This window comes from Homo sapiens, chromosome 1 (assembly GCF_000001405.40).
Source record: "Homo sapiens chromosome 1, GRCh38.p14 Primary Assembly".
Classification (NCBI taxonomy): Eukaryota; Metazoa; Chordata; class Mammalia; order Primates; family Hominidae; genus Homo; species Homo sapiens.
The window spans coordinates 75,367,496-75,380,288 of NC_000001.11; the positions used below are offsets into that span (position 1 = coordinate 75,367,496).

General features: G+C 41.6%; 1 protein-coding gene across 13 annotated transcripts in view, besides 5 other annotated features; it reads right to left on the minus strand.

Moving 5' to 3' along the window:
• SLC44A5 (solute carrier family 44 member 5) overlaps positions 1-12,793 on the minus strand; it is a 521,887-nt gene that overhangs the window by 165,367 nt on the left and 343,727 nt on the right. For 2 of the 13 annotated variants that reach the window (XM_006710445.4, XM_047449167.1), the window contains exon 1: positions 2,366-2,445. The exons of the other annotated variants lie outside the window; for them this stretch is intronic. The gene's annotated coding sequence lies outside the window, so the exon portion shown is untranslated. Of the gene's footprint in view, positions 1-2,365; positions 2,446-12,793 lie in introns of those variants that run through there. 13 annotated transcript variants of the gene reach the window in all.
• Positions 7,969-9,168: an enhancer, noted in NCBI's record as "CDK7 strongly-dependent group 2 enhancer chr1:75841149-75842348 (GRCh37/hg19 assembly coordinates)". NCBI's record gives its function as "activates an origin of replication core promoter dependent on BRD2, BRD4, P300/CBP, MED14 and CDK7 cofactors, with strong dependence on CDK7, by STARR-seq in HCT116 cells {active_cell/tissue: HCT116}" and the evidence as "EXISTENCE:reporter gene assay evidence [ECO:0000049][PMID:35650434]".
• Positions 7,969-9,578: a biological region, named in NCBI's record as "CDK7 strongly-dependent group 2 enhancer GRCh37_chr1:75841149-75842348".
• Positions 8,013-8,796: an enhancer, noted in NCBI's record as "NANOG-H3K27ac-H3K4me1 hESC enhancer chr1:75841193-75841976 (GRCh37/hg19 assembly coordinates)". NCBI's record gives its function as "activates a minimal SCP1, AML or CMV promoter by ChIP-STARR-seq in naive H9 embryonic stem cells {active_cell/tissue: H9 hESC(naive)}" and the evidence as "EXISTENCE:reporter gene assay evidence [ECO:0000049][PMID:30033119]".
• Positions 8,797-9,578: an enhancer, noted in NCBI's record as "NANOG-H3K27ac-H3K4me1 hESC enhancer chr1:75841977-75842758 (GRCh37/hg19 assembly coordinates)". NCBI's record gives its function as "activates a minimal SCP1, AML or CMV promoter by ChIP-STARR-seq in naive H9 embryonic stem cells {active_cell/tissue: H9 hESC(naive)}" and the evidence as "EXISTENCE:reporter gene assay evidence [ECO:0000049][PMID:30033119]".
• Positions 9,579-10,360: an enhancer, noted in NCBI's record as "OCT4-NANOG-H3K27ac hESC enhancer chr1:75842759-75843540 (GRCh37/hg19 assembly coordinates)". NCBI's record gives its function as "activates a minimal SCP1, AML or CMV promoter by ChIP-STARR-seq in naive H9 embryonic stem cells {active_cell/tissue: H9 hESC(naive)}" and the evidence as "EXISTENCE:reporter gene assay evidence [ECO:0000049][PMID:30033119]".

A 12,793-nucleotide genomic window follows, 5' to 3' on the forward strand; every position in this document is an offset into this window, starting at 1 on the left:
CTGTTGCATTATTCATCAGACAGGACTGCTCCTGGATCATGGCTCAGAGGACCTGGAGTTGGGTCACATACTGCTTCAGAGTCCACAGTCAGGACCAGTGTCAGCAGGCCTGTTACCTGAAGCAGGGACAGATGTGGTTCCTCGTGCGTCCCTTGGTGGATGGTGCTGGTGGCAAGACTAAGGCCAAATGGGGCTGTAGCAGAGTCCATAGGGGGATGGAGCTGTTTCCAGGTTTGTAGCCAAGGTCACCATCAGTGAGCCTGCCACCTGGGCACAGGCCTGCCTTCTCAAAACAGCTGTCATCAGTCTTAGGGTCTACCAGAGCTTACAATCACTTACTTGGATCCCATAGCTCCCACAAAGGCATTTTTTTCCCATAAATGGCTGAGAAATTATTGTTGGAGTTGGGAGAATATGAAAGGAGACCTCCCATGCCACCAAATCGCTGACGTCACCCCTGTGTTGCATTTTTATACCACATTCTCTATGGTTAAGGAATACATTGATTGTTTTTGGAAAAGAGCACTTAACAGTTTCTAAACATTTAACAAATAGCTAATGATTTTTTGTCAATATTTATTGAGGCTGGCCTCACATCACTAGGCCAGGTATTAGAAGAGAATATCAATATTACTGAGAAATTTGCTTTAATCAGAGTTATCTAACAAAGCAACCAATTAAAAAAACACTCATAAATATCACATTTTACAAGATGATCTGATCAATCAGTACAAAGTTCTTATCATAATCACAGAATTGAGTAATTACAGTTGTTCCTTGATGTCCACAGGGGATTGTTTCTAGAACCTTTCCCTTATAACAAAATCCACAGACGCTTAAGTCTGCAGTTGACTCTGCAAAACGCATGAATACAAAAAGTCTGCCCTCTATATCTGTGGGTTCTGCATCCCACAAATACTGTATTTTTGATCCACAGTTGGCTAAATCTGCAGGTGCAGAACCCGTAAACACCAAAGGTTGACTGTATTTGTTAAGTAAATACTTACCTAATACACTTTGGCTTTGACTTAGGTGGCATTAACTCAATATTTCTAGAAGATATGTTTATAAAGTCTACTTTAATAGGTACCTTCAGATCATAACAATAAAATTGATTTTGCTCTCTCTGTCTCTTTAAAATGTGCATGCACACACACACACACACACACACACACACCACACTCAAATTGGTATTCTGAATGCTCCAAATCAAATCTTGGTGTTCTGAAATATATCCTAAGAAATGTCTATTATTGTCAAGGGGAACTCCTTCATGATGCATACGCAACTATGAGAATGTTCTGCATGTTTACTGTTTTCACTTCTGTCATGATCTATTCAAGAAGGAAGTTTATGTATAAAACATTAAGTGTACTAACCAATTAAATACATATTAAAATGTATCAACATCATTAAAGTCCAACAAAAATTTTCCTAGCAGGTATACATCTCTCTTATTTTTCTGGTTTTGTGGAAGACATCCAAAGAAAGCAAAAAGTGATTCGTTCTCTCTTTCTCACATTTTTTTTTTTTTAAAGACAGGTTCTCACTCTGTCACTCAGGCTGAAATATAGTGCCATAATCCATAACTCACTGCAGCCTCCAATTCCTGGGCTCAGGGAATCTTCCTGCCTCAGCCTCCTGAGTAGCTATGACTACTGGTGCACACCACTACACTTGGCTATTTTTTTTTTTAATTTTTTGAAGAGACAGGGTTTTGTTTTGTTGCCCAGGGTGGTCTCGAAATTGTGGCCTCAAGCTATCCTCCTTCCTCAGCCTCACAAAGTGCTGGGATTACAGGTGTGAGCCACTGCTCCTGGCTTCTTCTTACTATTTACATACTTTCATACAAAATAAATAATCTACTCCATATAGTATCAGAGAAATTTAAAAATAATGCTATCTACTGCATTTTTATTTTTAAGGATGATTAGTACTTTTACGAGTTCCTGAGGTGAGGAGAAGAAAGAATGCATGTTCTTTTCAGTGCAATGACAAAATTGAGATGATAGCCGTGATTCATGAGAGATACATACATTCCATAAAAATGTCATGATAGAAATTTCATTTTGATAGAGTATTATTATTTAATTTGGGGAAAAATGTAAATGTCTCCAAATAGAGGTTGATTCTTATTTTCATAGCAATACTTTTGGCACACAGTTAAGTGTTTATTTAAAATAAAAAATCATAATTTATTAAATCTATTTTTACATTTTCTATTAAATGTGGTTCTTTCATTTCTTCAATATAAAAATAAAAACTTTTTTAATAACTGAAGATGTTAGTTAAGTTTATAAGGAAAGAAAAAGTAAAACTTCACCAAAAGAATAAAAAACAAAGATGAAACAGTTCAATCAATTACCAGGTTTCCAGCTGGAAGTTTTCCCATTGCTTGGCCTTGAAACTTACTGCTTACAGCTCATCTTCTCTAGCACCAATCATGGATTACCATGTATGCAATCCAGTTTTCTCAGAAGGTTCTACGCCATCAAGATACCATTCATTTATGTTTGAAAATAAAATTATTTGAATAGGTTAGGCTTTTACACTAAGAGTAGTTCTGACTGAACTAAGAACTTTATTCAATGAATAGGAAAATTATGTTCCTCATCCTCCATCCTCTGGCTTTAAGCCAGGCCTGGAACCTGGCAAAGAATGTCAAGCATCTAAAGCTAATATTCTAGACTTTGGTTCTAGGAGGAAATAAATAATTTCTGGGTTTTTTGTTCCCATATGCTGTAACATAAACTTATACCTATTACATAGAAAAATAACTATTTTAGAAAGAAGAATATCAATTTAATAATTTGTTTATTGAAATTTTTCCAGTTAAAATAATTTTTTCCACTTCAAACTGCTTTATAACTTCTTTCATCTCCTTAACTACTGAGACAGACTCAGCCTTGGGTAGCATAGTGATCAGAATATTTCCAACCACAGTTTCTTATTGCAAAGACGCCCAGTAGTGTGTGTATACAAATACCTGGAGGTGACCTCTTCCAGGCAATTTACATAGGATAAGTATTTTGGACCGCTCAGTGAACTACAAAGTCAATCTCAAAGGCTGTAGAGAGAAGATGGAAGTAACAAAATTCCTGGAGCATAAACCAGAGCATTCCTAGCAGATATTATATACTGGTTGTACTCAAAACATTCCACAAAAACTCACAAGTGTATGATGTCCTGCAGAATCAAACAGGAAACTGAGTATCACCAAAGAGGGTAACTTTGATACGGGATCAGAGTGGGTATATGGTAGGCTAATGAGAAGAGTCAGGGGTGTCAGAGAGATGGAGAAAATCAGCAACAGGAGAAAAATGTAATTTCCTGCTGTAAGTAGTTGTAAAACTGAGCATTTAGTAAATTTCTACTTATTGCAGTTTGTCCCTACAAACTCTTTAATAATATGATCAGTTTTACTGGTTGCATGAAACAACGTACATGTGCTACAGGGAAGATCTAAACTAAGAGGCATATTAAGAAAGAGGAGTGAGGAGAAGGATTGGGACAATGCTCTCATCTCATACAGAGAAAACTCCTCAGTTTTCCTGTTGGGTTTGGTAGGTACAAAGCAAATAAAGGGGCTGGACTCCAGTTTTATCACATACTTCAAACTTCATGCTCCATCTCTCCATCTCTTTACGTGCAGCAAGGATGTGTCAATGGGAAATTATACATTCACCCCATTTGCGAAGGCAGGGAATCAAAATTTATTTTTAATTAAAAACAAGATATAAAGTATTTTTAAAATAGAAAACTTCATGCAGTTTGTGTTCAATTGTTACTGTGTTTATCTGCACAAGTTACTTAACTTCTCTATGCCTCAGTTTCCTCATCTATAAAATAGGAGAAATAGAACCATCCTCAAAGGGGTTTTAGATACATTGAGTTAGCATATGTAAAGCAGTAAGAATAGTGTCCAACTCACAGTAAGTGCTGTAAACTATTTTTATTGTTATTTTTGTAGTCACATCAACATATCCAAAGACCCAAGTAGCTTTCTACAGAGCATAATATTCAGCCTTTCCTGATTATCAAGAAAATTAAGAAAATGAAAAATTAAAAAATCAAAAAATGAAAAACAGTGGAGAAATAAAATCAGATCCATCCCAGAGTAGCCACTTTATCTGTTTTTAATAATTTGAAAGAGACAGAGAGTCTAAATTATTTCCAGCTAATCAATAAAAGATATATTCATTTGTATTACTTTAGACTAACCTACGAAAAGCTAAAATGAAGGCCCACCTATTTAAAAGTGTGAGATTATATATTTTTTTATTTAGTTCAACCTTCTAAAGGCTGTTTTTCACACAGGTGAGGAACAGTTGATTGCAATACTTTGTGCTAAGAGGTAGTTCATCCTGCCAGAAAGAAAAAGCCAGGTTGGATTGACAAGGTATATAAAAGCTCCAAGGTAGCTGGGCGCAGTGGCTCAAGCCCGTAATCCCAGCACTTTGGGAGGCCGAGGCGGGCAGATCACTTAAGGGCAGGAGTTCAAGACCAGCCTGGTCAATTTGGTGAAACCCCGTCCCTACTAAAAATACAAACATTAGCCGGGCATGTTGGCACATGCCTGTAATTCCAGCTACTTGGGAAGCTGACACAGGAGAATTGCTTGAACCTGGGAGGCAGAAGCTGCAGTGAGCCAAGATCATGCCACAGCACTCTAAACTGGGTGACAGAGTGAGACTCTGTCTCAAAAAAAAAAAAAAAAAAAACCTTCAGGGTAAGGAAAGAGCTTTTTCCCAGTGAGTCAGAGATCAAATGCATGTAAAATGTTTTACCTAAATAAAAAATTTGCCCTTTTTCCTTAAATTTACACTTACTTTTCCCCAGATGCCTAACTCTGGCTAACACTTACATGCAGATTGAGAGGAAAAAATAAAGAGTAATTAAGATTACAGGAGAATATTTTAATCCTGGCATTCTGACACTGAGGATATTCAACATAAAATACAACTTTACCCAAGCAAAACAAGATTAGGAGGAAATCATCATGACAAAATAAAACTAGCAATTCTAAAGACATGTACATATAGTGAAGTGAATTTTTTCTTTGTAAAAGTTAGTTGAACAATGGTCAAAATGGGTTAAAGAATCACATATTGTTAGTAAACCAGAAAACTGCAAAAATTGACCTTGGAAGAAATGAAACCTTCAGAGAAGTTATTAACAGAAAATAGAATTGACATTAGCTAAACTTTTCATGGTAATGTTTACTGACCAAAAATTGATAAAAGAATTATATCTTCCTTTAAAATTTGACATTGGAAAATTGTATTAGGGAGAAATAATGACCACAGAAATATTTAATGAAATAGCTTTGGTTGTTCAAACAATGTAGATAAAACATAATCACTAAATCAAATCTTTGTTTTTAAATTGACATTCAGTCCAATGAAGTTTAGTAGAATAAAAAAGAATAAAACCATAGTTTAACACTGCTATACAAAAAATTAAGGAATCAAACTCATAGATTTTACTTCAAAAAATGTAAGAACTCCTTATTGACCTGAATTCATTGATGATCGTATAAATCTGAATATTGGTATTTAGAAGCAGAGTCAAAATATCCTCAGGTCAACATTTAAATTAGGTCAAAGTGTCAGAATCAAGAAAAAGATCTAGAAGATGGCTGACTAGATGCAGCTGGGAAAGGCCTCCCTCACTAACAGAAACCAAAATGTAGAGTAAACCATTATACTTTGAAAAAATATTTTGAGAGAAAACACCAAAAATCGATAGGGAGGTGACAGACATTGTGGCTAAAGAGGGAGGAAACTGGGAAGCCTGCATGGAGTCACCGAGCACCAAGACCAGCTCCTGGCCCTCAACAGGTCCTAAGGAAGGGGTGAGTAAAGGAACTCCAAGGCACCACACCCCAAATACAACCCTCTGGGATCCTAGAGACAAGAGATCCCATTACCCCCACAGACATTTGAATTGGCAGGAGGAACTTCTTAGAGACCAGACAGAGGCAGAGATTGAACCTGCATAGAACCCTGAAGGTTTCAAGGTGGCACGTGGTGCAGCAGCAACTAAACGTGACTTCAGGCATTTATCCCAGAAGGCTCTCTATCTTGCTCTGAGTGACTGTAGCTCCTGCTGACTGTTCGGCCAGGAGAGAGCAAGGCTGCCTTTCCTGCAGGAGCAGGGCACATCTGATCCACACGCTGCCTTGTCCACCAGTCCCTCCTAAGACAACCTGCCTGGCTACTCCTGCAGGAGGTTGCCCACAGCACAGCCTCTACTGCCCCACCTGAGTGTTTTGCCAGCTGTCTGGGAGGAGTTAAACTCCCCCAGCACAGCTGGCACTCAACCCTGAGGGTTCAGAGGACAAAACTACTGGCCGAGTCCCTACCCCCCAGGATTCAAGCACACTACCCAGGGGCATCAAGCTGAGATCTGTGGCCTGAGCTCAGGTTGGGGAGGAGCCCCCACTCTCAGAACACTGAGGGAGTGTGGCCTGTGCTCATGTGGTGGCATGGGAGCTGGTCATCCCTCCCTCCACCAGACCAGTCCAGAAAGGGTGTAGCCTGTTAGCTGCAGCTTCTGCCCCAAGGAGCCCTGCAGCCTAGAACATTTTGGAACAGCAAGTGACCTGAATGCAGAAGGCTTGGGACAAGTCTAGCTGGTTGGGCCTGTTCTTACGCAGGCATCAGAGGGAGACCCAGTAGAAGGGGTGCAAGCTGAGCAGGTCCCACAATCATCCTCTGGGCTAAAATCCCTGGCCACAGTCAACACACAAGCTGAATACCTGTGGTACCACCACTCTCCCTCAGGATCCTCCACTCTTGACCCACTGAATCACCAGACTACCTGCAGACATACCTCACAACCTCCTTGGACTCTGCCAGGCTTAGAGGACCAGTAGGTCTCCAGGGAATTGTGGGTCTCCTGGTGACCTAACACTTGGCACAGACCACACCTAAGAAGGTGTGGAGAAGGTAGCCCACCAAAGCCCCACTTGATGCTAAGGAAATGCAGGCGTGATGCCAGTAACTGCAGGGTACTCCACTAAGGCCTGTAGACAAACTTGGTGAGGAAGTCATCTTTTGCCCCCCATTCCCCTCCCCAGGGCACCGCTGCACATGCACTGAAACACACAAGAGGCATGTGGCTAAGAGCCTATCTGCCAGCCCTGACTCTTAAGCACTATCTACTGGATTGCAACCTGAATCACACCGGGAAGCAAAAATACATCCCTTCAGCGCTCAATGCCTGGAGACCCATGCAGGAAAGGATCCACAACTGAGGAACTCTACACAGCCTTGGCCCTCTAAAAGCACATAGAAATGAAGCCAGTACTATACACAACATACACCACAGTCAAACACAAAAATTATTATAAAAACAAAAAGTCCCATCCAAATGACGGCAATTTCAAAAAGAAATACTGGCCCCCTCATATGAGAAGCAATCAGTGCAAGAACTCTAGCAATTTAAAAAGTCAGAGTGTTTCCTTACCTCTAAAGGATTGCACTATCTCTCCAGCAATGGATCCTAACCAGATTGAAATGTCTGAAACAACTGACATAGAATTCAGAATATGGATGGCCAAGAAAGCTCAACGAGATTCAAGAGAAAATTAAAACCCAATCCAAGAAAACTCAAAAAATGATCCAAGTATCGAAAGACAACAGAGCCATTTTAAGTAAGAACCAAACTCAACTTCTGGAATTGAAAATTTCACTATAGAAATTTCAAAATACAGCTGAAAGTCTTAATAACAGATTAGACCAAGCTGAGGAAAGAATTTCAGAGCTTGAAGATCAGTCTTCCAAATCAACTCAGTCAGACAAAAACAAATAAAAAAGAATAATTTAAAAATAGACAAACCCTCTAGAGACTATACGTGTGACTCACTGGCATGTCTGAGAGAGAAGAGAGAGTAAGCAACTTGGAAAACATATCTGAGGATACAATCCACAACAATTTCCCCAATTTTGCGAAAGAAGTTGACATGTAAGTTCAAGAAATTCAGAGAATCTTTGTGAGACATTATACAAGGTGACCTTCCTCAAGACACATAATCATCAGAATTTTCAAAGTCAACAAGAAAAGAAATCTTAAAGGCAACTGTAGAAAAGGGTCATATCACTTTTCTATCACTGTTCACAAAGGGAACCCCATCAGGTGAACAGTGGACTTCTCAGCAGAAACCTTACAAGCCAGAATAGACCTGGAGGCCTATTTTTAGCATTCTTGAAGTAAAGAAATACCAACCAAGTATTTTGTATCTCACCAAACTAATTTTCATAACAGAAGGAGAAAGACAATTTTTCCCGAACAAGCAATCACTAAGAAAATTCATTACCACTGAATCGTGGAGGAGCCAAGATGGCCGAATAGGAACAGCTCCTGTCTACAGCTCCCAGCGTGAGTGACACAGAAGATGGGTGATTTCTGCATTTCCATCTGAGGTACCGGGTTCATCTCACTTGGGAGTGCCAGGCAGTGGGCGCAGGTCAGTGGGTGTGTGCACCGTGTGCGAGCCGAAGCAGGGCGAGGCATTGCCTCACTTGGGAAGTGCAAGGGGTCAGGGAGTTCCCTTTCCAAGTCAAAGAAAGGGGTGACGGACGCACCTGGAAAATTGGGTCACTCCCACCCAAATACTGCGCTTTTCCGACCGGCTTAAAAAACGGCGCACGACGAGATTATATCCCACACCTGGCTCAGAGGGTCCTACGCCCATGGAGTCTCGCTGATTGCTAGCACAGCAGTCTGAGATCAAACTGCAAGGCGGCAGCGAGGCTGGGGGAGGGGCGCCCGCCATTGCCCAGGCTTGCCTAGGTAAACAAAGCAGCCAGGAAGCTCCAACTGGGTGGAGCCCACCACAGCTCAAGGAGGCCTGCCTGCCTCTGTAGGCTCCACCCCTGGGGGCAGGGCACAGACAAACAAAAAGACAGCAGTAACCTCTGCAGACTTAAATGTCCCTGTCTGACAGCTTTGAAGAGAGCAGTGGTTCTCCCAGCACGCAGCTGGAGATCTGAGAACGGGCAGACTGCCTCCTCAAGAGGGTCCCTAAACCCCGAGCAGCCTAACTGGGAGGCACCCCCCAGCAGGGGCACACTGACACCTCACACGGCAGGGTACTCCAACAGACCTGCAGCTGAGGGTCCTGTCTGTTAGAAGGAAAACTAACAAACAGAAAGGACATCCACACCAAAAACCCATCTGTACATCACCATCATCAAAGACCAAAAGTAGATAAAACCACAAAGATGGGGAAAAAACAGAGCAGAAAAACTGGAAACTCTAAAAAGCAGAGCGCCTCTCCTCCAAAGGAACGCAGTTCCTCACCAGCAATGGAACAAAGCTGGATGGAGAATGACTTTGACAAGCTGAGAGCAGAAGGCTTCAGACGATCAAATTACTCTGAGCTACGGGAGGACATTCAAACCAAAGGCAAAGAAGTTGAAAACTTTGAAAAAAATTTAGAAGAATGTAAAACTAGAATAACCAATACAGAGAAGTGCTTAAAGGAGCTGATGGAGCTGAAAACCAAGGCTCGAGAACTACGTGAAGAATGAAGAAGCCTCAGGAGTCGATGCTATCAACTGGAAGAAAGGGTATCAGCAATGGAATGTGGGGAAAAGCAAGAGAGATCAGATTGTTACTGTGTCTGTGTAGAAAGAAGTAGACATAGGAGACTCCATTTTGTTATGTACTAAGAAAAATTCTTCTGCCTTGAGATTCTGTTAATCTATAACCTTACCCCCAACCCCGTGCTCTCTGAAACGTGTGCTGTGTCAACTCAGAGTTAAATGGATTAAGGGCGGTGCAAGATGTGCTTTGTTAAACAGATGCTTGAAGGCAGCATGCTCCTTAAGAGTCATCACCACTCCCTAATCTCAAGTACCCAGGGACACAAAAACTGCGGAAGGCCGCAGGGACCTCTGCCTAGGAAAGCCAGGTATTGTCCAAGGTTTCTCCCCATGTGATAGTCTGAAATATGGCCTCGTGGGAAGGGAAAGACCTGACCATCCCCCAGCCCGACACCCGTAAAGGGTCTGTGCTGAGGAGGATTAGTAAAAGAGGAAGGAATGCCTCTTGCAGTTGAGACAAGAGGAAGGCATCTGTCTCCTGCCTGTCCCTGGGCAATGGAATGTCTCGGTATAAAACCCGATTGTATGCTCCATCTACTGAGATAGGGAAAAACTGCCTTAGGGCTGGAGGTGGGACCTGCGGGCAGCAATACTGCTTTGTAAAGCATTGAGATGTTTATGTGTATGCATATCTAAAAGCACAGCACTTAATCCTTTACATTGTCTATGATGCAAAGACCTTTGTTCACGTGTTTGTCTGCTGACCCTCTCCCCACAATTGTCTTGTGACCCTGACACATCCCCCTCTTCGAGAAACACCCACAAATGATGAATAAATACTAAGGGAACTCAGAGGCTGGCGGGATCCTCCATATGCTGAACGCTGGTTCCCCGGTTCCCCTTATTTCTTTCTCTATACTTTGTCTCTGTGTCTTTTTCTTTTCCAAATCTCTCGTCCCACCTTACGAGAAACACCCACAGGTGTGTAGGGGCAACCCACCCCTACATCTGGTGCCCAACGTGGAGGCTTTTCTCTAGGGTGAAGGTACGCTCGAGCGTGGTCATTGAGGACAAGTCGACGAGAGATCCCAAGTACGTCTACAGTCAGCCTTACAGTAAGCTTGTGCGCTCGGAAGAAGCTAGGGTGATAATAGGGCAAACTAAAAGTAAAATTAAAAGTAAATATGCCTCTTATCTCAGCTTTATTAAAATTCTTTTAAAAAGAGGGGGAGTTAAAGTATCTACAAAAAATCTAATCAAGCTATTTCAAATAATAGAACAATTTTGCCCATGGTTTCCAGAACAAGGAACTTTAGATCTAAAAGATTGGAAAAGAATTGGTAAGGAACTAAAACAAGCAGGTAGGAAGGGTAATATCATTCCACTTACAGTATGGAATGATTGGGCCATTATTAAAGCAGCTTTAGAACCATTTCAAACAGAAGAAGATAGCATTTCAGTTTCTGATGCCCCTGGAAGCTGTTTAATAGATTGTAATGAAAAGACAAGGAAAAAATCCCAGAAAGAAACGGAAAGTTTACATTGCAAATATGTAGCAGAGCCGGTAATGGCTCAGTCAACGCAAAATGTTGACTATAATCAATTACAGGAGGTGATATATCCTGAAACGTTAAAATTAGAAGGAAAAGGTCCAGAATTAATGGGGCCATCAGAGTCTAAACCACGAGGCACAAGTCCTCTTCCAGCAGGTCAGGTGCCCGTAAGATTACAACCTCAAACGCAGGTTAAAGAAAATAAGACCCAACCGCCAGTAGCTTATCAATACTGGCCGCCGGCTGAACTTCAGTATCGGCCACCCCCAGAAAGTCAGTATGGATATCCAGGAATGCCCCCAGCACCACAGGGCAGGGCGCCATACCCTCAGCTGCCCACTAGGAGACTTAATCCTATGGCACCACCTAGTAGACAGGGTAGTGAATTACATGAAATTATTGATAAATCAAGAAAGGAAGGAGATACTGAGGCATGGCAATTCCCAGTAACGTTAGAACCAATGCCACCTGGAGAAGGAGCCCAAGAGGGAGAGCCTCCCACAGTTGAGGCCAGATACAAGTCTTTTTCGATAAAAATGCTAAAAGATATGAAAGAGGGAGTAAAACAGTATGGACCCAACTCTCCTTATATGAGGACATTATTAGATTCCATTGCTCATGGACATAGACTCATTCCTTATGATTGGGAGATTCTGGCAAAATCGTCTCTCTCACCCTCTCAATTTTTACAATTTAAGACTTGGTGGATTGATGGGGTACAAGAACAGGTCCGAAGAAATAGGGCTGCCAATCCTCCAGTTAACATAGATGCAGATCAACTATTAGGAATAGGTCAAAATTGGAGTACTATTAGTCAACAAGCATTAATGCAAAATGAGGCCATTGAACAAGTTAGAGCTATCTGCCTTAGAGCCTGGGAAAAAATCCAAGACCCAGGAAGTACCTGCCCCTCATTTAATACAGTAAGACAAGGTTCAAAAGAGCCCTATCCTGATTTTGTGGCAAGGCTCCAAGATGTTGCTCAAAAGTCAATTGCCGATGAAAAAGCCCGTAAGGTCATAGTGGAGTTGATGGCATATGAAAACGCCAATCCTGAGTGTCAATCAGCCATTAAGCCATTAAAAGGAAAGGTTCCTGCAGGATCAGATGTAATCTCAGAATATGTAAAAGCCTGTGATGGAATCGGAGGAGCTATGCATAAAGCTATGCTTATGGCTCAAGCAATAACAGGAGTTGTTTTAGGAGGGCAAGTTAGAACATTTGGAAGAAAATGTTATAATTGTGGTCAAATTGGTCACTTAAAAAAGAATTGCCCAGTCTTAAATAAACAGAATATAACTATTCAACCAACTACAACAGGTAGAGAGCCACCTGACTTATGTCCAAGATGTAAAAAAGGAAAACATTGGGCTAGTCAATGTCGTTCTAAATTTGATAAAAATGGGCAACCATTGTCGGGAAATGAGCAAAGGGGCCAGCCTCAGGCCCCACAACAAACTGGGGCATTCCCAATTCAGCCATTTGTTCCTCAGGGTTTTCAGGGACAACAACCCCCACTGTCCCAAGTGTTTCAGGGAATAAGCCAGTTACCACAATACAACAATTGTCCCCCGCCACAAGCGGCAGTGCAGCAGTAGATTTATGTACTATACAAGCAGTCTCTCTGCTTCCAGGGGAGCCCCCACAAAAAATCCCCACAGGGGTATATGGCCCCCTGCCTGAGGGGAC